The sequence below is a fragment of the Homo sapiens genome, chromosome 1, assembly GCF_000001405.40.
Source record: "Homo sapiens chromosome 1, GRCh38.p14 Primary Assembly".
In the NCBI taxonomy this organism is placed as follows: domain Eukaryota; kingdom Metazoa; phylum Chordata; class Mammalia; order Primates; family Hominidae; genus Homo; species Homo sapiens.
In genome coordinates this window covers 183,660,900-183,685,055 of record NC_000001.11, presented here as the reverse complement: position 1 = coordinate 183,685,055, position 24,156 = coordinate 183,660,900, and the positions used below count along the sequence as shown (strand labels likewise).

The following is a 24,156-nucleotide window of genomic DNA, read 5'->3' as shown; positions in this document are numbered from 1 at the left end:
AAATGTAAATAGAAGATGGCCAAATAAAAACAGCTCTGGTCTGTAGCTTCCAGCAAGATCAACGCAGAAGGCGGGTGATTTTCTGCATTTCCAACTGAGATACCTAGCTCATCTCACTGGGACTGGTTAGACAGTGGGTGCAGCCCATGGAGGGTGAGCCGAAGCAGGGTGGGGGCGTCCTCTCAACCAGGAAGCACAAGTGATCAGGGAACTCCTTCCCCTAGCCAAGGGAAGCTGTGAGGGACTGTGCCATGAGGGACAGTGCACTCTGGCCCAGACACTACGCTTTTCCCATGGTCTTCGGAACCCACAGACCAGGAGATTCCCTCGGGTCCCTACACCACCAGGGCCCTGGGTTTCAAGCACAAAACTGGGCAGCCATTTGAGCAGACACCAAGCTAGCTGCAGAAGTTTTTTTCATACCCCAGTGGCGCCTGGAACACCAGTGAGACAGAACGGTTCACTCCCCTGGAAAGGGGGCTGAAGCCAGGGAGGCAAATGGTCTAGCTCAGTGGATCCCACCCCCATGAAGCCCAGAAAGCTAAGATCCACTGGCATAAAATTCTTGCTGCCAGCACAGCAGTCTGGAGTCGACCTGGGACGCTCGAGCTTGGTGGAAGGAGGGGCAGCACAGAGGCCTGTTAGAAGGAAAACTAACAAACAGAAAGGAATAGCATAAACATCAACAAAAAGGTCATCCACACAAAAACCCCATCCAAAGTCACCAGCATCAAAGACCAAAGCTGGATAAATCCATGAAGATGAGGAAAAACCAGCACAAAAAGGCTAAAAGTTCCAAAAACCAGAATGCCTCTTCTCCTCCAGAGGATCACAACTCCTCGCCAGCAAGGGAACAAAACTGGATGGAGAATGAGTTTAATGAATTGACAGAAGTAGGCTTCAGAAGGTGGGTAATAACAAACTCCTCCAAGCTAAAGGAACATGTTCTAATCCAATGCAAGGAAGCTAAGAACCTTGAAAAAAGGTTAGAGGAATTGCTAACTAGAATAACCAGTTTAGAGAAGAACATAAATGACCTGATGGAGCTGAAAAACACAGCACGAGAACTTTGTGAAGCATACACAAGTATCAATAGCCAAATTGAACAAGCGGAAGAAAGGATATCAGAGAGTGAAGATCAACTTAATGAAATAAAGTGTGAAGACAAGATTAGAGAAAACAGAATGAAAAGGAACAGACAAAGCCTCCAAGAAATATGGGACTATGTGAAAAGACCAAACCTACATTTGATTGGTGTACCTGAAAGTGACAGGGAGAATGGAATCAAGTTGGAAAACACTCTTCAGGATATTAGCCAGGAGAACTTCCCCAAACTAGCAAGACAGGCTAACATTCAAACTCAGGAAATACAGAGAACACCACAAAGACACTCCTCGAGAAGAGCAACCCCAAGACACATAATCGTCACATTCACCAAGGTTGAAACAAAGGAAAAATTTTTAAGGGCAACCAGAAAGAAAGGTCGGGTTACCCACAAAGGGAAGCCCATCAGACTAACAGTGGATCTCTTGGGTGAAACTCTACAAGCCAGAAAAGAGTGGGGACCAATATTCAACATTCTTAAAGAAAAGAATTTTCAACCCAGAATTTCATATCCAGCCAAACTAAGCTTCATAAGCAAAGGAGAAATAAAATCCTTTACAGACAATCAAATGCTGAGAGATTTTGTCACCACCAGGCCTCCCTTACAAGAGCTCCTGAAGGAAGCACTAAATATGGAAAAACTGGTACCTCCCACTGCAAAAACATACCAAATTGTAAAGACCATCAACACTATGAAGAAACTGCATCAACTAATGGGCAAAATAACCACCTAGCATCATTATGACAGAATCAAATTCACACATAACAATATTAACCGTAAATGTAAATGGGCTAAATGCCCCAATTAAAAGACACAGACTGGCAAATTGGATAGAGTCAAGACCCATCAGTGTGCTGTATTCAAGAGACCCATCTCACATGCAGAAACACACATAGGCTCAAAATAAAGGGATGGAGAAATATATACCAAGCAAATGGAAAGCAAAAAAAAAAAGAAGGGGTTGCAATCCTCGTCTCTGATAAAACAGACTTTAAACCAACAAAGATCAACAAAGACAAAGAAGGGCATTACATTATAATAAAGGGATCAATGCAACAAGAAGAGCTAACTATCCTAAATATATACGCACCCAATACAAGAGCACCTAGATTTATAAAGAAAGTTACCAGAGACCTACAAAAGAAACTTAGACTCCCACACAATAATAGTGGGAGAACTTAACACCCCACCGTCAATCTTAGACAGATCAATGAGACAGAAAATTAACAAGTATATTCAGGACTTGAACTCAGCTCTGGACCAAGCACATCTAATAGACGTCTACAGAACTCTCCACCCCAAATCAACAGAATATACATTCTTCTCAGCACCTCATCGCACTTATTCCAAAATTGACCACATAATTCAAAGTAAAACACTCCTCAGCAAATGCAAAAGAACAGAAATCATAAAAAACAGTCTCTCAGAACACAGTGCAATCAAATTAGAACTCAGGATTAAGAAACTCACTCAAAAGCGCACAACTACAAGGAAACTGAACAATCTGCTCCTGAATGACTACTGGGTAAATAACAAAATGAAGGCAGAAATAAAGATGTTCTTTGAAATCAATGAGAACCAAGACAACGTACCAGAATCTCTGGGACACATTTAAAGCAATGTGTAGAGGGAAATTAATAGCACTAAATGCCCACAGGAGAAACCAGGAAAGATCTAAAATTGACACACTAACATCACAATTAAAAGAACTAGAGAAGCAGGAGCAAACAAATTCAAAAGCTAGCAGAAAACAAGAAATAACTAAGACCAGAGCAGAACTCAAGGAGATAGAGACACAAAAAACCCTTCAAAAAAATCAATGAATCCAGGAGCTGGTTTTTTGAAAAGATTAACAAAATAAATAGACCACTAGCCAGACTATTAAAGAATAAAATAGAGAAGAATCAAATAGACACAATAGAAAATGATAAAGGGGATATCACCACTGATCTCACAGAAATACAAACTACCATCAGAGAATACTATAAACACCTCTACACAAATAAACTAGAAAATCTAGAATAAATTCCTGGACACATACACCCTCCCAAGACTAAACCAGGAAGAAGTCGAATCCCTGAGTAGACCAATAACAAGTTCTTAAATTGAGGCAGTAATTAATAGTCTACCAACCAAAAAAACCCCAGGACCAGAGAGATTCACAGCCAAATTCTACCAGAGGTTCATAGAGGAGGTGGTATCATTCTGTCTGAAACTATTCCAAACAATAGAAAGAGAGGAACTCCTCCGTAACTCATTTTGTGAGGCCAGCATCATCCTGATACCAACGCCTGGCAGAGACACAACAAAAAAAGAAAATTTCAGGCCAATATCTTTGATGAACATCGATGCAAAAATCCTCAATAAAATACTGGCAAACCGAACCTAGCAGCACATCAAAAAGCTTATCCACCATGATCAAGTCAGCTTCATCCCTGGGATGCAAGGCTGGCTCAACATATGCAAATTAATAAGCGTAAGCCACCACATAAACAGAACCAATGACAAAAACCACATGATTATCTCAATAGATGCAGAAAAGGCCTTTGATAAAACTCAACACACCTTCATGCTAAAAGCTCTCAATAAACTAGGCTTTGATTGAATGTATCTCAAAATAATAAGAGCCATTTATGACAAACCCACAGCCAATATTACACTGAATGGGCAAAAGCTGAAAGCATTCCCTTTGAAAACAGGCACAAGACAAGGATGCCCTCTCTCACCACTCCTGTTCAACATAGTGTTGGAAGTTCTGGCCAGTGCAATCAGGAAAGAGAAAGAAATAAAGGGTATTCAAATAGGAAGAGAGGAAGTCAAATTGTCTCTGTTTGCAGAAGACATGATTATATATTTAGAAAACCCCATAGTCTCAGCCCAAAATCTCCTTAAGCTGATAAACAGTTTCAGCAAAGTCTCAGGATACAAAATCAATGTGCAAAAATCACAAGCATTCTTATACACCAATAATAGGCAAAGAGCCAAATCATGAGTGAACTCCCATTCACAATTGCTATAAAGAGAATAAAATACCTAGGAATTCAACTTACAAGGGATATGAAGGACCTCTTCAAGGAGAACTACAAACCACTGCTCAAGGAAATAAGAGAGGACACAAACAAATGGAAAAACATTCCATGCTTAGGGATAGGAAGAATCAATATCGTGAAAATGGCCATACTGCCCAAAATAATTTATAGATTCAATGCTATCCCTAACAAGCTACCATTGATTTTCTTCACAGAATCAGAAAAAAACTACTTTAAATGCCATATGGAACCAAAAAAGAGCCTGTATAGCCAAGACAATCCTAAGCAAAAAGAACAAAGCTGGAGGCATCACGCTACCTGACTTCAAAGTGTACTACAAGGCTATAGTAACCAAAACAGCATGGTACCGGTACCAAAACAGATATATAGACCAATGGAACAGAACAGAGGCCTCAGAAATAACGCCACACAAGCATTGGGGAAAGGATTCCCTATTTAATAAATGGTGTTGGGAAAACTGGCTAGCCATATGTAGAAAACTGAAACTGGGCCCCTTCCTTACACCTTATACAAAAATTAACTCAAGATGGATTAAAGACTTCAACATAAGACCTAAAACATAAAAACCCTAGAAGAAAACCTAGGCAATACCATTCAGGACACAGGCATGGGAAAAGACTTCATGACTAAAACACCAAAAGCAATGGCAACAAAAACCAAAATTGACAAATGGAATCTAATTAAACTAAAGAGCTTCTGGACAGCAAAAAAAACTATCATTGGAGTGAACAGGCAACCTACAGAATGGGAGAAAATTTTTGCAATCTATCCATCTGATAAAGGGCTACTATCCAGAATGTACAAGGAAGTAAACAAATTTACAAGAAAAAAACAAACAACCCCATCAAAAAGTGGGCAAATGATATGAACAGACACTTCTCAAAAGAATACATTTATGCGGCCAACAAACATATGAAAAAAAAGCTCATCATCACTGGTCATTAGAGAAATGCAAATCAAAACCACAATGAGATACCATCTCACACCAGTTAGAATGGCAATCATTAAAAAGTCAGGAAACAACACATGCTGGAGAGGATCTGGAGAAATAGGAACACTTTTACACTGTTAGTGAGAGTGTAAATTAGTTCAACCATTGTGGAAGACAGTGTGGCGATTCCTCAAGGCTCTAGAACCAGAAATACCATTTGACCCAGAAATCCCATTACTGGATATACACTCAAAGGATTATAAATTATTCTACTGTAAAGACACATGCACACATATGTTTATTGCAGCACTGTTCACAATAGCAAAGACTTGGAACCAACCTAAATGCCCATCAGTGATACACTGGATAAAGAAAATGTGGCACATATATACCATGGAATACTATGCAGCCATAAAAAAGGATGAGCATTCTTTTTTTCTCATTCTCATTCTCAGCAAACTAACACAGGAACAGAAAACTGAACGCCGCATGTTCTCACTCATAAGTGACAGTTGAACAATGAGAACACATGGACACAGGGAGGGGAACATCACACACGGGGGCCTGTCGGGGGTGGGGGGCAAGGGGAGGGATAGCATTAGGAGAAATACCTAATGTAGATGACGGGTTGATAGGTGCAGGAAACCACCACGGCACATGTATACCTATGTAACAAACCTGCATGTTCTGCACATGTATCCCGGAACTTAAAGTATAATAAAAATAAATAATAAATGTAAATATAAAAATACTTAAATCAAAGACTGGTGTGCTTTCGGATGTGAATTATAACTTAGGTAGAAATTTAAAAGGTTCTACAAGGGAAAGACTAAGTTTTAGGCTCTGCTGAAGCAACCTGACCCTCACATCTCAAAGGCATCAGCAGGAGGAGCCAGGAACAAATGATGGGCTTAGCCTTTCCTCCCTCTGATATGCTTAGGACCTATATATAAATGCTCTTCCATCCACTTTGGTACTCACGTCTCCTAGTCTTTCCACTTAAAAGCTGGAGGTGTTAATATGGCAAATGCCCAGCCCTAGCGGCTTCAGTAACTATTTTGGGCTTGTAAAAGGGGACTAACAGTGACAGTTAAGAGGTCTTTGTCTCACCCTTGGAAAGGCTGTTTTCTACCCCTTCTGTCATGCAGGTAACCAGTCAGTGTGAGACTGGATCTTCAAAGAAGCTAACCAGACCTCTCCAAAAGCCAAAGCCTTAGGAAATAGACTCATTCTTTCAAACATCACAACTTTTTTAAAAAAAGAAATCTTGCTTAGAAGAATCTTGCACTTAAGTGAGCCATAATCACACCACTGCACTCCAGCCTGGCGACAGAGGAAGACCCTGTCTCAGGGAAAAAAAAAAAATCTTGGTGTCAAAAAAAAAGAGACAAAGTAGCTCAACTCACCAACAACAAAACACAAGTGAGAGAGAAACATTCTTAAAGTTAATATGTGTTGGCCATTCACCAATTCATTCACATATTCCATTATAGTGCCTACTTTTTAGTAATAGACTATGTTAGTAATACAGAAGTAATATTTTTAACGTTGCTGATACATCAACAAAAAGTGATATAAACTCAAGTTCTCTTTGGAAGTAAGTCTGATATAAATCAATAAAAAACTCACTGATTATGGTATCATGATAGGGAAGAATATAAATCTATGGAAAGTGGGAAAATAATTCAAAGGAAGGCACTTTGGTCTTTGGTGCACCAATCTATTCCACAGAAAGCCAACTGTTTCATTGCCTAGGAGGTTACACACAGGTGCACATATTCTTTCATTCGTATGAGGAAAAGCAAATAGACATTATAGATGTTTTACAAGAAAAAAAACTGCACAGTGTCCCTCAAATTATTAATCCTCCAACCCCCAAAGTTCCACCTCATCCACATCTGCTTTAATAGTTTCATCTTTATGGAAATAATTGATATTTTAAATAAGGACTATGAGACCTCAACAGAATGATGAATTACATATGGAAGTATAATTTTATCACATCAGAAAAAAAGCCTTCCAGTTTAAAGGCTATGTTATCAAGAACCTCTGTTCAGACCTTCATTCTGAGGGTGCCCTGTTCTCCAGGTATCCTCACCACACAGACTGGATTCAAGTCCCAGCTCTCCGCCTCACTACCTACGTGACAACCTTGCTTCCCTCACCCCTAAAATGGAGATAACACCTAACTCATGGTGATGTGACATTGACCAGGGAATATACATGTGTAAAATGTTCACAACACCCCTAATTTGAGGGATACTGTGCAGTTTGTTTGCACATAATAAAGGTTCAATACATAGCAACCATTAACACTTCCACAGGGCTTTATATAAACCCTCTCTGGAAAACCCCATTGGGTAACCTCAGCTTACTTGGATTAAGACATAAAGCAACCTTTAAGGGATGTCAGCTCCCTAGGAAAAAGGACTTGAAAATAACATGAAATTGAGGATTAGTAAATATCCTGAATGACAGAATCAGAATCCAAAAGGTCTTCACAGAACAGAATGATGGGCAAATTAAACCCAGGTAATTGGGCCCAAGGGGGACAGCCTCCCCTTTGGAGTTTCTAGTCTGAAGCTAACTTCTGCCACTTGGCAAGGAAAGGAGGTATAGCAATGGGCAGCGGGCTCAGGTGAAACTTCAGTAGAAAAAAAAAGAGAGAGAGATCCCATCTTCCAAGTAAATCCAAAATTGATTAAATATTTAGTGAGAGAAGTTGTGGCTTTTATCTAGGATGGCACACAACTGAGGAAAATATTAATTCCTACTGCAAAAATACGATTTGGAATAAGCAAATCTGAGGTTCTGTTGGAGCCTTTGAGAATGAAAGGGGATACCATTAATTATGCCAGGACAATAGGTAAAAACTAGGGCTACCCTGGGCACAATGGGACATATAATCACACTATTTATACACATGCTGAAAGCTCTACATGTCTGAGTTGATGAAATGTTCAATGAATCAATAATTTGCTGATATTGCTTTAAAAATATTTGGGATTGCTAAGTGCTTATTATATGCCCTTTTCTGTCCTTTACATGTATTAACTCATTTAATACTCACAAAAAAAATCCAAAAATATTATAAAATACTGCAAATTTGAAATATGCTTATATTACAGATGAGGAAATTGAGGCATAGAGAAGTAACTTGCCCTTGGTTACTCTTCAGCTTATCTGCAGGCTTACACTGACTAAACAGAGACTCCAAAGCCAGAGGCCCCTGGGCTGTGTATTTCATCACTATGAGACACAGCCCAGGGGCCTCTGGCTCTGGAGTCTCTGTGACACATCCTCATCGATCTAATCACTTCAGGCTGCATTAAAATGCAGTGAAGTGCATTCTGCTAACCAAGAACAGGGTAGTTCTACTTGCCCCTGTTTCAGTTAGAACATAGCTAGGGACATTGTTTTTGATTCCAGGTCCCAATTTTTCATACAAACTAGATTCATTGAACTGTGTTCAGTGTGGCAAGGAAATGTGAGACTGTGATACATATGGATGAGTGGAAAGAAATGGAAATGCTTCGTGTAGGGAAGAAAAGACTTGATGGGGCATGAGAATGGCTCAACTATGTGGGTGGCATAGGGAAGAAAAGTGAGACATGTTCTATTCAGCAGCTTTCAAACTCTTTTGACCATTGAGATACAGTGCACATACATAGTTAATTATATAATTAAATAAACATAAAATCAAGACAAAGGTTTCATGAAAACTTTACTACTTGTGATATACTCTGATATTTTCTATTTTGTTCTACTCTCATTCTGTTCTATTTGTTCTTCTTCTCCTTTTATTTATTTATTATTATTTGTTTTTAGAGACAGAGTCTCTGTCACCCAGGCCAGAGTGCAGCAGTGCAATCACAGCTTATTGCAACCTTGACCTTCTGGGCTCAAGCCATCCTCCCACCTCAGCCTCCTGAGTAGTTGGGACAACAGATACACATCACCATGCCAAGCTAATTTTTAAATTATTCTGTAGAGACCTGTGCTCATTACGTTGCCGAGGCTGGTCTCAAACTCCTGGGCTCAAGTGACCCTCCTGCCTCAGCCTCTCAAAGCACTGGGATCACAGGCATGAGCCACCACATCTGGCCTTTTTCTTCTCTTTTAATGATGGTCATAACCAATTAAAATTATTTCACAACCCTGAATTTCAGCCTGAAATTTTAAAAATACTGCTCTTTATGGTCCCCAAAAAAGAAACTAAAGAGCAGAGGATAGGCATTACAGGAGAGTATATTTTAGCTCAACATAAACAGTAACTAAATAACAGCCAGAGCTGTTCAAAATTGTAAGGGATACTGCAGGACACAGAAGTTTCCCAACACTTGCAGGTGATGTAGGTATCCCATCATGGGCTGTGACTAGATTGGAAAGAATTTAAGCATTAGTTAAATGGCTGAAATAAAGGAATCCTTGGGTTCTTTCCAAATCTGAGGTTCCATTATTCTAAATCATATTTTTGTAATAGTGATAACACTTTTTCTTCAACAATGTCCATTTTCCAAAAGCCTTAGATATGTTCCAAGATACCAAAAGAGAGAAAAAAAAATGTAGGTTGGTAGGTAGGAAGGAAAGAAGGGAGGGAGGGTGGGAGGATGGAAGGAAGGAAGGAAGGAAGGATAGAGGGAAAGAAGAAAAGAAAACAAAGAGAAAAAAAAAAACCATATAGAATTGAAATGTTTCCTATGTAAATAAAAGGGTTTTTGCCTTCAAAATAAAGTCTAAAGCTCTACTTTCCCCATCCCAACCAAAATGTAAACTGGGTTCATCCAGAGTGCAAGATTCCCGAGTGCCCTGTGTAAGTAAAAGAAGAAAAAAAGGCATCTGAAAATCACTCCAGGCACTATGATTGGCTCTGATGGTTTCCTTTTGGATCATTCTGGATGATCAGCTCAGAACAGAAGAGCTGAGATTGGCTCATAAATTGATGTGTAAAATAGCTTTCAGCAGGGTTTGGTCAATTCCTTTTGACAGGTATACACATTGCAACAATCTTCAAAGGCAACTTCTGGGACAGCCGCCTAATTACTTTTGAAGATACTGCCAAGAAAGAAAAGACAGAAAATATGAAGAGAAATCTAAATAAAGACAGAATGATTGAAAGGGGGGCATTAACACAAATCCTAAAGGATGCAATTGATAGATGAAAGATTAAAGATTATATTAGACCACTATCCACCAACAATCATGCAACCTATCATTTCTGTGGGCTCACTACCGGTACATAATGCACTCTTGCCTCCAGGTATCTTATTTAATTCTCAAAGCCATCTTCATAACCAAATGCTAACTCCACTGGCAGAAGACCAGGGGTTATTCTCTGAGGAAAACTGATGTTTCAGTAATGATCTCAGCAGAGCTTCCTAAAAGAGATAGAAAAGTCCAAACTGGGGTAAATGATCCATCAAGGCTGCCAAGAGTTCTCTGGATGCTTTCCACCAAACTCAGCTTCCTTCCAAGGTCTCAGAGTAAAAAGGTTGCATGGACTACAAGAGCCACAATCCAGTCACAGCTGGTTTTATTTGATACACAGGAAGATGGCTATACATGAATTAAGCAAATTTAAAAAAAACAAAAGTGTATCCTCAACTGTAAAGGGTATCCTTCTTCCTGACAAAATCAGTGATACAGCATTTATCTTCAATTAATACTATAGGTACAAATGTTATCAATATATAATAGAAAGTATTTGGAATTTACATACTCAGTAACAAGTGTTTTTTTAATGACATATAAAGTTAGAAGCTATTTGCTCAGACCATCTTGGCATCCTAGAAATGTGAATCCTGAGCTGGACTCACTCCCATGGTGTTATAAACTGTGCTACAAACCCTCAAATCAGGGAAAGCGAGTCCTTTGTGGAAAGATGAGTCCAGGAAATAAACTGAAACCAGACCTGAGTTTAGCAAGTGAGTGAAGACAAAGACTTGGAAACACAAGAAAAAGAATAGAGGTTGACATAATTCAGGTAGGTTGGAATTCAAAGCATGCCTAGACCTTGGCAACAGAGACCAGATGGATTAAGACAAAGCCAAGACCAAGCCAAGCAGGGTGAAGGAACACATACAAGCTCCAGGGGCCTGCCAGATAGACACTTGCAAACCCAATGCACCATGTCTAAAGACACAGCAAGTTCACACTTGGTTTAGGCAGGCATCTGGAAAAGAGGATGATCCCAAAGGGTAGGGCATGGCCACAAAGGTAGAGAATGCCATCATAGCAAGACTTCTATTTCTAGCAATAGTGTGATGTAAGTACACAGAAAAACTGAGAATTGTTAAATATAACAAAGATTCTAAATGTACAGCTGAGCTCTCACGGAAGTAAGAGGAATTTAGAACCAAAATCAGAAAAAGACATAAACATAGAACTGCTGCACTGGCATCGACATTTAAGTCACACAGAGGGCATTTGTTAATATTGGTAATCAAGAAGTTCAGGATTTCACAGACATACGGAATCAACAATGAAGCCTTGGGTTTGCTCAACCTGATGAAGTAGAACAGAGCCCTTCCTTGCCCCCATGACCCCTAAAGGGCTACTCTCTAAGTGCAAAGAGATGACAAGGAATCTGTCTATCTCAGCCTACATGTTTGATGAGAGAAAGAAAAAGGTTCCCCAAACATGAGTTTCAAATTTATGCTACCTATATAGTTCAGGAACCCAAAGTTGAGACACTGATATTAAACTGGTCCAGGTCTGAAAACACACTCACAGTGCCTGTAAAAATCAAAGGCAAATTTTCTCTAGAGCAATGGTTCTCAATCTTGACTGTGAGGTTTTAAAAACACTGATGCTTCAGTCTCATACTCACAGTATCTGAGTTAACTGGTCTGAGCTTCAACCTGGCATCTTGATATTTAAAGGCTCAGTAGATTAATCTAATATGCAGGAAAATTAAAAAACACTGCTCTACACCAGGAAGAATAGCTAATGGATGCTGGGCTTAATACCTAGGTGATGGGATGATCTGTGCAGCAAACTACCATGGCACATGTTTACCTATGTAACAAACATGCACATCCTGCATACGTACCCCAGAATTTAAAATAAAAGTTGAAGAAGAAAATGGAAACATTGCTCTAGAAAGACATCCCATGAATGTAAGCCACACAGGATCCCCACCAAGTATGACTTACTAAATAAAATTTTACCACACTCAAAAAGCAATCCAGGTAAGCAAGAGTAGGTAGAAATAACAAAAAGCAGAGTTAGACTCCCAAGAACTTTAGAAAATAGAATTGTTTGTTATAGTCTATAAGAACATTTAAATTAATTAAAGACCAAAATCCCTAAAGCATGTAGAAATGATAAACATAAGCACTGGATTTTTAAAACCCCTTAAGTAGGTTAAATAGCAGATTAAAGACCTGTAGAAAGAAGTGGAGAACTAGATGACTGATCCGGAGAAATTAACTAGAATGCAGCATTGAAAAATGAATGATAATTTTTATAGCCACTGCAAAAGAGAAATGAAGAATCACATAGAATAAATGAAAATGTTCAACATATACCAAATCTATGTTCCAAAAGATGGGAAAAGAGAGAAATATTTTTATCTGTTGAGAACAGAGAAACATTTCTCTGTTGAGAAAATAAGACTCAGAAAATAATGACTATTTTTCTGAATTAATGAAAAATAAGAATCATGAAATTTGGGTTTTAAGCAGGATAAATCCATACCTAAACACATCATAGTGAAATTAAAATATCAAAGGTAAGGGCTGGGCGCCATGGCTCATGCTTGTAATCCCAGCACTTTGGGAGGCCGAGGCAGGTAGATCACCTAAGGTCAGGAGTTTGAAACCAGCCTGGCCAACATGGCGAAACCCCATCTCTACTAAAAATACAAAAATTAGCCAGGCATGGTGGTGGGTGCCTGTAATCCCAGCTACTCAGGAGGCTGAGGTAGGAGAATCGCTTGAACCTGGGAGGCAGAGGTTGCAGTGAGCCAAGATCGCGCCACTGCACTCCAGCCTGGGTGACAGAGCAAGGCTCTGTCTCAAAAAAAAAAAAGAAAAAAAAAATCAAAGGTAAGGAATGTTTCTTAAATGTCACAAAGAAAAATTATCTATAATGAAACAACTAGACCGACAATGAATTTCTCAACAGCAACCACTTGGAGGATTTTCAGAGCTCACCATATGCCCTACTGAGTCTACAGCCATAATACTTCCTCTCAGCTTCCATATACTCTACCTAATTGGAAAACCAGATTGAACTGAGTTTAGCTCCATTTGGAAGAAATTGGGACAAGAGAAGCTGAAAATGGTGATAATTTAAATATCAAATTTCTTGATAAATGTGGTATCTTTGGAGATTTATGGGGCATTAGCTATCCAAATGAAGAAACTACAGAGTCCCATCCACTCTTCATTCCCTTTCTGTCAAATGGCAAGCTTAGAAGAAACTAGTCTTTCTAAATTGATATAGTAAATGCTTCCTTTCACTGACAATACCAAGTGTTGGCAAGGATGTGGAGCAACTGGAATGCTCATAAATTGCTAGTGGGAATGTACAATGGTAAATCACTGTGGAAAACAGTTTGGCAGTTCTTAGAAAGTTGAAATTTATTTATCATAAAACTTAGCAATTCCACTATTGGGTATACATGCAAGAAAAGTGGAACATATGTTCACACAAAGACTTAAACATGAATGTTCAGAGTGGCTTTTTTCATAATATGGTTAGGCTTTGTGTCTCCACCCAAATCTCATCTTGAATTGTAATCCCCATAATTTCTACATGTCAAGGGAGAGACCAGGTGGAGGTAACTGAATCATGGGGGCAGTTTTGCCCATGCTGTTCTCATGATAGTGGGTGAATTCTCACAAGATCTGATGGTTTTATAAGGGGCTCTTCCTCCTTCACTCAGCACTTCTCCTTCCAGCCACCTTGTGAAGAAGGTACCTTGCTTCCCCTTCCTCTTCTGCCATAATCATAAATTTCCTGAAGTCTCCCCAGCCATGCAGAACTGAGAGTCAATTAAACCTCTTTCCTTTATAAATTACCAGTCTTGGGCAGTTCTTACAGAAGTATGAAAATGGACTAATACGATAGCCCAACACTAGAAACAATTCAAATGTCCACCAACAGATGAATAAACAAATTGTAGTATATCCATACGATGGAATATTATTCAGCATTAAAAAGGAATAAACTGGTTCAGCATGTAAGGAGCTTGGAAGTTGCTACTCCATCCTAACATCACGTAAAAACTGGAACAGACTGAAAAATCAACAACTCTTCTTAGAACCATCAGAAAAGTAGAGTTATAGGACAAACCACTGCCCCAAATATCAGAGAGACAGGCAGATACTGAGAATCACAACTTATCAGAACATAAACTCCCAGGCAAAAACCTCCACAGGAACAAGTGCTAGGATAGGAAAACCTGAACTGTAATTAATGGATTGCTAGAGGCTCAGTGAAGACAACTGTAAGTTTAAAACTCCAGAGAGACCCAGTCATATGGGGGCTTCCACACTTTTATGCGTTTTACATCCAGGAGCTCTACCTGACAGCAAATATCAGAGAAAAATTCCCTTATGATTCCAGCAGGGGGACACAAAATAAAACCAATTTTGAAATGTGCCAGAGCATTCTGTTCTTAAGAAAGCCTGGCCTCAGAAGAAACTATTTTACCAGAGCCTACTGGGGTTTGATCAGAGCCTGATCAAGCTGGGGAAAGGGAAATAGCCAACCCAGCTCCCTCTAGCTTTCCACATGGAAGAAAAGAAATACCCAATTCCAACCCCTTCTAAGTCATTCCTTCCCATGTAAAGTGTGGGAGTGGGAGTGGGGAGATGGAGAGAGATAGGGACAGAGAAACAGTGATGAAGTTCACAATTCAGGGGCATAAGCTCACCAAAAGACTGAGACCTACTCATAAGACCACAGAATGCTCCCTGATATGGTTTGGCTGTGTCCCCACCCAAATCTCACCTTGAATTGTAGCTCCCATAATCCCTACGTCATAAGAGGGACCCGGTGAGAGGTACTTGAATCATAGGGGTGGTTACCCCCATGCTGCTGTTCTCATGACAGTGAGTGAGTTCTCATGAGATCTGATGATTTTATAAGGGGTTTTTCCCCCTTTTTCTCGCCACTTCTCTCTTGCCTGCTGCCATGTAAGATGTGCCTTTGTTTCTCCTTCACCTTCTGCCATGATTGTGAGGCCTCCCCAGCCATGTGGAATTGTGAGTGCATTAAACCTCTTTTTATTTATAAATTACGCAGTCTCAGGTATTTCTTCATAGCAGTATGAAAATGAACTAATACACTTCCCCTTCTTCCTACACCTTACCACTACATTACTAAAGGCCTATTTACTGCAGTTCTTTTTACCCAGTACATCATGTGTACCTTTTAACCAAAAATTATAAGGCAAACTAAAAGACAAAAAACACAGTTTAAAGATCTGAAGAGACTGAACAAGCATATCTGGACAGAATCGCATATGGTAGAAACGCTAGAATTACCAGACCAGAAATTTAATGCTTCTATGGACTATGGACTATGCTAAGGACTTTAATGGAAAAAGTAGATAGCATGCAAGAACAGGTATATAATGTAAACAGAAACATGAAAATTCTAAAAGCAAAAAAGAAATCACAGAGATTACAAAAAAATATAGTGTAAGAGAAACAAAGAATGCCTTTGATGAACCCATTAGTAGACTGGACATGATGAAGAAAGAATCTCCAAGCTTGGGGACATAACAATAAAAATGTCCATGTAATCCCAGCACTTTGGGAGGCCAAGGCAGGTGGATCACGAGGTCATGAGATTGAGACCATCCTGGCCAACATGGTGAAACCCCATCTCTACTAAAAATACAAAAAATTAGCCGGGCATGGTGGCACATGCCTGTAATCCCAGCTACTTGGGAGACTGAGGCAGGAGAATCACTTGAACCCGGGAGGCGGAGGTTGCAGTGAGCCAAGATTGCACCACTGCCACTGCACTCCAGCCTGGCGACAGAGTGAGACTCCATCTCAAAAAAAAAAAAAAAGAAAAGAAAGTCCAATACCAAAAGCAAAAAGAAAACAGACTGAAAATAAAAACTCATAACAGAATATCCAAAAGCTGGGGGACAACTACAAAGGGTGTAAACATATGTAATGGAAATCCCAGGAGAGGAAAAAGAGAAAAGAGCAGAAGCAATATTTGAAGCAATAATGAGTGAAAATTTCCCCCAAATTAATGTTAGACACCAATCCACAGATCTAGGAAGCTCAGAGAACACCAAGCAAGATAAATGCAAAACAAAAAGAAAACAAAAAAAACTATGCTTAGGCATAGATATTCAAATTTCAAAAAATTAAACATAAAGAAAAAATCGCAGCCAGGTGTGGTGGCTCATGGCTCATGCCTGTAATCTGAACACTTTGGGAGGCTGAGGTGGTAGAATTGCTTGAGGCCAGGAGTTCCAGACAAGCCTGGGCAATATAGGGAGACACTATCTCTTAAAAAATTAAATTAAATTAAATTAAAAATAAATCATTAAACACCTTATGAACACAGAAGTAAAGATAAAAATTACACATGATTTCTCAAAAACAATGCAAGCAAGAAGAGAGTGGAAGAAAAAATTTAAAGTGTTGATAGAAAAAAACTCATCAACCTAGAATTCCACACCCTGTGAAATTAACGTTCAGAAGTGAAAGAGAAATACTTCCTCAGACAGGCAAAAATTGAGAGAATTTGTTGTCAGTAAGCCTGACCTGCAAGTAATATTTTTAAAAGTTCTTCAAAGAGAATGAAAATGATATAGCTCAGAAACTTGGATTTATATAAAGAAAGGAAGAGCATTTGAGAATGAATACGTAAAGGGTAAAATAAAAACTTTTATTTTTTTATTCGTAATTGATCTAACAGATGACTGTTTAAAAGGATATTAGCAACAATGCATTTAATTACACACAGACACACACACACACACACACACATATATATAAGCATGTAAGTAAAATAAATCACAGCAATGATACAAAAGATGAGAGAGTAGAAATATTTTGTTATTATATAGTACTTGTACTACCTGAAGCCGTATAGTGTTATTTGAAAGTGTACTTAGATTAGTTATAAATGAATATTACAAACTCTAAGACAATCACTGAAAAATGTTTAAAAAGAAGTAGAACTGATGTGCTAAGAAAGGACAGAAAAATACAATCATACAGATTGCTCAATAAAAAATATAAAAGGTTGAAAAAGTGTGGAAGGCAAAAATAGAAACAAAGAATAAGAGCAACAAATAAAAAACAGTATTAAATAAGGTAGATATTAATCCAAATACCAATAATTTCTTTAAACATCAATGATCTGGCTGGGCGCAATGGCTCACACCTGTAATCCCAGCACTTTGGGAGGCCAAGGAGGGCAGATCACCTGAGGTTGGGAGTTAGAGACACGCCTGACCACCATGAAGAAACCCCGTCTCTACTAAAAATACAAAAAATTAGCCAGGCATGGTGGCACATGCCTGTAATCCCAGCTACTCAGGAGGCTGAGGCTAGAGAATCGCTTGAACCTAGGAGGCAGAGGTTGCGGTGAGCCGAGATCGCGCCATTGCACTCCAGCCTAGGCAACAAGAGCAAAACTCCGTCTCAAAAAAATAAATAAATAAAAAATAAATCAATGATCTAAATACATCAATGAAAAGACAGATTGCCAGAATGATCTAAAAAAACAAAACCTGGCTATATGTTGTTTAAAAGAAACCCACTTTAAATATAAAGGCACATACAGATTGAAAGAGATAAAGAAAGATATACCATGCTAATAATAATCGAAAGAAAGAAGAGTAGCTACATTAATTTCAGAGCAAAGACAGTTGTCAAGAATAAAGAGAAGCATTACCAAATGGTTAAGGGATCAATACTCCAAGAAAACATACCAATGCTTAATGTGTGTGTGCCTAACAACAGAGTATCAAAATATGTGAAGCAAAAACAGATAGAACTTCAAGGCAAAAGATTAATCCAGTATTAAAATTGAAAACATTAACACTCCTCAATCAGAATGGGCAGATACAGCCTGCAGAAAATCAGTAAGGAAATAGCTGAACTCAATAGCACCATCAATCAACTGGATATAATTGACATTTATAAATTACTTCATTCAACACCATACATTCTTCTCAAGCTAACAGGAAACACTTACCAAATTGGCCATATTCTGGACCCTAAAACATACCTTCACAGATGTAAATGAATAGAAATCATACAGTGTCTGCTTTCAGACCACAGTGGAGTTACAACTAGAAATCAGAAACAGAAAGATAGCTGGAAAATTCCTGCCAGGCGTGGTGGCTCACACCTGTAATCCCAGCACTTTGTAAGGCTGAAATCAGGTGGATGGCCTGCGTTCAGGAGTCCGAGACCAGCCTGGGAAACATGGTGAAACCTCATCTCAATTTTTTAAAAAAGAAAAAAGAAAGATAGCTGGAAAATTCCAAAATACTTGGAAATTAAACAACGAAGTTCTAAATAATACATAGGTCAAAGAATAACTTGCAAGAGAAATTTAAAACTATTTTGAACTCAATGAAAATACAATGTTTCAAAATTTGGGGGATGCAGCAAAAGCAATAATTAGATGGAAATATATATAAAATGCATACATTAGAAAAAAAGAAAGACCTAGGCCCAGGCGCGGTGGCTCACGCCTGTAATCCCAGCACTTTCGGAGGCCGAGGCGGGTGGATCACCGGAGGTCGGGAGTTCGAGACCAGCCTGACCAACATGGAGAAACCCTGTCTCTACTAAAAATACAAAATTAGCCGAGTGTGGTGGTGCATGCCTGTAATCCCAGCTACTCTGGAGGCTGAGGCAGGAGAATCACTTGAACCCAGGAGGCAGAGGTTGCAGTGAGCCGAGATCACGCCATTGCACTCCAGCCTGGGCAAAAAGAGCGAAACTCCATCTCAAAAAAAAAAAAAAAAAGAAAAAAAGAAGACCTTCAGTCAATCATCTAGGCTTTCACTCTAGGAAACTAGAAAAAGCACAGCAAATTAAATTCAAAGTAAGCAGAAAAAAATGAAATAATAAAAACCAGTGCAGAAATCAATAAAATTAAAAATAGAAAAACAATGGAGAAAATCATTAAACCGAAAGCTGATAGGTTTTCTTTAGATCAATAAAATCAATAAGCCTCAAGCCAGGTTAACTAAGAAAAAACAGAAGGACACGAATTACTAATATCAGAAATGAAAGAGGGGACATCATCACTACGGATCTCACAGACATTAAAAGGATAATCAAGGAGCATGATGAACAATCTATGCTCACCTATTTGACAACCTAGATAAAATGGACGAACTCCTTGAAAGACACAATCTTCCAAAGCTTACATAAGATAAATAGGCAGTCTTAATGGGCCTATATCTATCAAAGAAATTCAATCAACAATTAACAACATTCCAAAACATATAGCACCAGGCACAGATAGGTTCACTGAATTCTACCAAAAATTTAAGGAAAATATTACACAATTATCTATAATGTCTTTCAGAAGATAGAAGCAAGTGAAAGACTTACTAACTCATTTTATGAGACCAGCATTACTCTAATACCAAAACCAGACAAAGACATTACAAGAAAACTACAGACCAATATCTCTCATGAACATAGATGTGAAAATTCTCAACGAAAGTATTAGCAAATTGAATTCAAGAATATATAAAAAGAATTACACATCACAACCAAGTGGGATTTGTCCCAGCTATGTAAAGCTGATTCAACATTTGAAAATCAGTTAATGTAATCCATCACATTAACAGGCTAAAGAAGAAAAATCATATGATTTTTCCACATATCAATGAATGTGGAAAAGGCATTTGACAAAATCTAACACCCATTAATGATTTTAAATACAAAAACTCTCTGCAAACTAGGAATAGACAGGAAATTTCTCACCTTGATTTTTAAAAAATCTACAACTAACATCATACTTAATGGTAAAAAACAATAAAGCTTTCCCACTAAGATCAGGAACAAGGCAAGGATGTCCCCTCCTACCACTGCTTTTCAACATTGTACTGGAAATCCTAGCTAACACAATAAGATTGGGAAAAAAAAGTATACAGGTTGGAAAGGAGGAAATAAAACTGTCTTTGTTTGCAGATGACATGATCATCTATGTAGACAATCCAAAAAGAATTGACCGAAAAACTCCTGGAACTATAATAAGCAATTACAGCAAGGTTACAGGATACAAAGTTAACATTTTTTTCTTGTCCTTAGCTTTATCACTGTCTCACTTTTGAAATACAATTTTCCCATTTATCTTAAGACTAGTTCATAAATTTGAAATTATTTTATTTTGCTCAAAAAGTAGGATGCGATAGCAGGATTATGGCATTAAAAAAAAAAAAAAGTATGCCCTCTGGAGTTAGAGTTAGAGTGCTCTGGGTTTAAATCTCAGCTCTGCCAGTTACTAGCTGTATAATCTTGAGCAAACAACTCTGAGCCCAAGTTCCTTTATTTGTCAAATAAAAATTATAATAATTCTAAACTAGTACAGATATGATGCATGTAAAATTGTTGCCACAGAGCACGTACTCAGTAAATGACATGATCCTATATGAAGAAAACCGTAAAGAACACAAAATGAATTAAGTTGCAGGATACAAAAATCAACACACAAAACACAGTTGCATCTCTTTACACCAATCATAATCTATCTGAAAAGGAAATCAAGAAAAATTCCCATTTATTTTTATTTTATTTTATTATTATTATACTTTAAGTTTTAGGGTACATGTGCACAATGGGCAGGTTAGTTACATATGTATACATGTGTCATGCTGGTGTGCTGCACCGATTAACTTGTCATTTAGCATTAGGTATATCTCCTAAAGCTATCCCTCCCCCCTCCCCCCACCCCACAACAGTCCTCAGAGTGTGATGTTCCCCTTCCTGTGTCCATGTGTTCTCATTGTTCAATTCCCACCTATGAGTGAGAACATGCGGTGCTTGGTTTTTTGTTCTTGCAATGGTTTACTGAGAATGATGATTTCCAATTTCATCCATGTCCCTACAAAGGACATGAACTCATCATTTTTTATGGCTGCATAGTATTCCATGGTGTATATGTGCCACATTTTCTTAATCCAGTCTATCGTTGTTGGACATTTGGGTTGGCTCCAAGTCTTTGCTATTGTGAATAGTGCTGCAATAAACATACGTGTGCACGTGTCTTTATAGCAGCATGATTTATAGTCCTTTGGGTATATACCCAGTAATGGGATGGCTGGGTCAAATGGTATTTCTAGTTCTAGATCCCTGAGGAATCGCCACACTGACTTCCACAAGGGTTGAACTAGTTTACAGTCCCACCAACAGTGTAAAAGTGTTCCAATTTCTCCACATCCTCTCCAGCACCTGTTGTTTCCTGACTTTTTAATGATTGCCATTCTAACTGGTGTGAGATGGTATCTCATTGTGATTTTGATTTGCATTTCTCTGATGGCCAGTGATGGTGAGCATTTTTTCATGTGTTTTTTGGCTGCATAAATGTCTTCTTTTAAGAAGTGTATGCTCATATCCTTCGTCCACTTTTTGATGGGGTTGTTTGTTTTTTTCTTGTAAATTTGTTTGAGTTCATTGTAGATTCTGGATATTAGCCCTTTGTCAGATGAGTAGGTTGCGAAAATTTTCTCCCATTTTGTAGGTTGCCTGTTCACTCTGATGGTAGTTTCTTTTGCTGTGCAAAAACTCTTTAGTTTAATTAGATCCCATTTGTCAATTTTGGCTTTTGTTGCCATTGCTTTTGGTGTTTTAGACATGAAGTCCTTGCCCATGCCTATGTCCTGAATGGTAATGCCTAGGTTTTCTTCTAGGGTTTTTATGGTTTTAGGTCTAACGTTTAAGTCTTTAATCCATCTTGAATTAATTTTTGTATAAGGTGTAAGGAAGGGATCCAGTTTCAGCTTTCTACATATGGCTAGCCAGTTTTCCCAGCACCATTTATTAAATAGGGAATCCTTTCCCCATTGCTTATTTTTCTCAGATTTGTCAAAGATCAGATAGTTGTAGATATGCGGCGTTATTTGTGAGGGCTCTGTTCTGTTCCATTGATCTATGTCTCTGTTTTGGTACCAGTACCATGCTGTTTTGGTTACTGTAGCCTTGTAGTATAGTTTGAACTCAGGTAGCGTGATGCCTCCAGCTTTGTTCTTTTGGCTTAGGATTGACTTGGCAATGCGGGCTCTTTTTTGGTTCCATATGAACTTTAAAGTAGTTTTTTCCAATTCTGTGAAGAAGGTCATTGGTAGCTTGATGGGGATGGCATTGAATCTATAAATTACCTTGGGCAGTATGGCCATTTTTATGATATTGATTCTTCCTACCCATGAGCATGGAATGTTCTTCCATTTGTTTGTATCCTCTTTTATTTCAGTGAGCAGTGGTTTGTAGTTCTCCTTGAAGAGGTCCTTCACATCCCTTGTAAGTTGGATTCCTAGGTATTTTATTCTCTTTGAAGCAATTGTGAATGGGAGTTCACTCAAGATTTGGCTCTCTGTTTGTCTGTTATTGGTGTATAAGAATGCTTGTGATTTTTGCACATTGATTTTGTATCCTGAGACTTTGCTGAAGTTGCTTATCAGCTTAAGGAGATTTTGGGCTGAGACAATGGGGTTTTCTAGATATACAATCATGTCATCTGCAAACAGGGACAATTTGACTTCATCTTTTCCTAATTGAATACCCTTTATTTCCTTCTCCTGCCTAATTGCCCTGGCCAGAACTTCCAACACTATCTTGAATAGGAGTGGTGAGAGAGGGCATCCCTGTCTTGTGCCAGTTTTCAAAGGGAATGCTTCGAGTTTTTGCCCATTAAGTATGATATTGGCTGTGGGTTTGTCATAGATAGCTCTTATTATCTTGAAATATGTCCCATCAATACCTAATTTATTGAGAGTTTTTAGCATGAAAGGTTGTTGAATTTTGTCAAAGGCCTTTTCTGCATCTATTGAGATAATCATGTGGTTTTTGTCTTTGGTTCTGTTTATATGCTGGATTACATTTATTGATTTGTGTATATTGAACCAGCCTTGCATCCCAGGGATGAAGCCCACTTGATCATGGTGGATAAGCTTTTTGATGTGCTGCTGGATTCGGTTTGCCAGTATTTTATTGAGGATTTTTGCATCAATGTTCATCAAGGATATTGGTCTAAAATTCTCTTTTTTGGTTGTGTCTCTTCTGCCCGGCTTTGATATCAGGATGATGCTGGCCTCATAAAATGAGTTAGGGAGGATTCCCTCTTTTCTATTGATTGGAATACTTTCAGAAGGAATGGTACCAGTTCCTCCTTGTACCTCTGGTAGAATTCGGCTGTGAATCCATCTGGTCCTGGACTCTTTTTCGTTGGTAAGCTATTGATTATTGCCACAATTTCAGAGCCTGTTATTGGTCTATTCAGAGAGTCAACTTCTTCCTGGTTTAGTCTTGGGAAGGTGTATGTGTTGAGGAATTTATCCACTTCTTCTAGATTTTCTAGTTTATTTGCATAGAGGTGTTTGTAGTATTCTCTGATGGTAGTTTGCATTTCTGTGGGATTGGTGGTGATATCCCCTTTATCATTTTTTATTGCGTCTATTTGATTCTTCTCTCTTTTCTTCTTTACTAGTCTTGCTAGCGGTCTATCAATTTTGTTGATCCTTTCAAAAAACCAGCTCCTGGATTCATTAATTTTTTGAAGGGTTTTTTGTGTCTCTATTTCCTTCAGCTCTGCTCTGATTTTAGTTATTTCTTGCCTTCTGCTAGCTTTTGAATGTCTTTGCTCTTGCTTTTCTAGTTCTTTTAATTGTGATGTTAGGGTGTCAATTTTGGATCTTTCCTGCTTTCTCTTGTGGGCATTTAGTGCTATAAATTTCCCTCTACACACTGCTTTGAATGTGTCCCAGAGATTCTGGTATGTTCTGTCTTTGTTCTCGTTGGTTTCAAAGAACATCTTTATCTCTGCCTTCATTTCGTTACGTACCCAGTAGTCATTCAAGAGCAGGTTGTTCGGTTTCCATGTAGTTGAGCGGTTTTGAGTGAGTT

General features: G+C 38.5%; 1 protein-coding gene across 9 annotated transcripts in view, besides 1 other annotated feature; it reads right to left on the bottom strand.

Annotated features, from left to right (window-relative positions):
* Window positions 1-24,156, bottom strand: part of RGL1 (ral guanine nucleotide dissociation stimulator like 1) — a 292,424-nt gene that overhangs the window by 243,477 nt on the left and 24,791 nt on the right. The gene's annotated exons all lie outside the window — the stretch shown is intronic.
* Window positions 359-860: an enhancer, noted in NCBI's record as "H3K27ac hESC enhancer chr1:183653331-183653832 (GRCh37/hg19 assembly coordinates)". NCBI's record gives its function as "activates a minimal SCP1, AML or CMV promoter by ChIP-STARR-seq in naive H9 embryonic stem cells {active_cell/tissue: H9 hESC(naive)}" and the evidence as "EXISTENCE:reporter gene assay evidence [ECO:0000049][PMID:30033119]".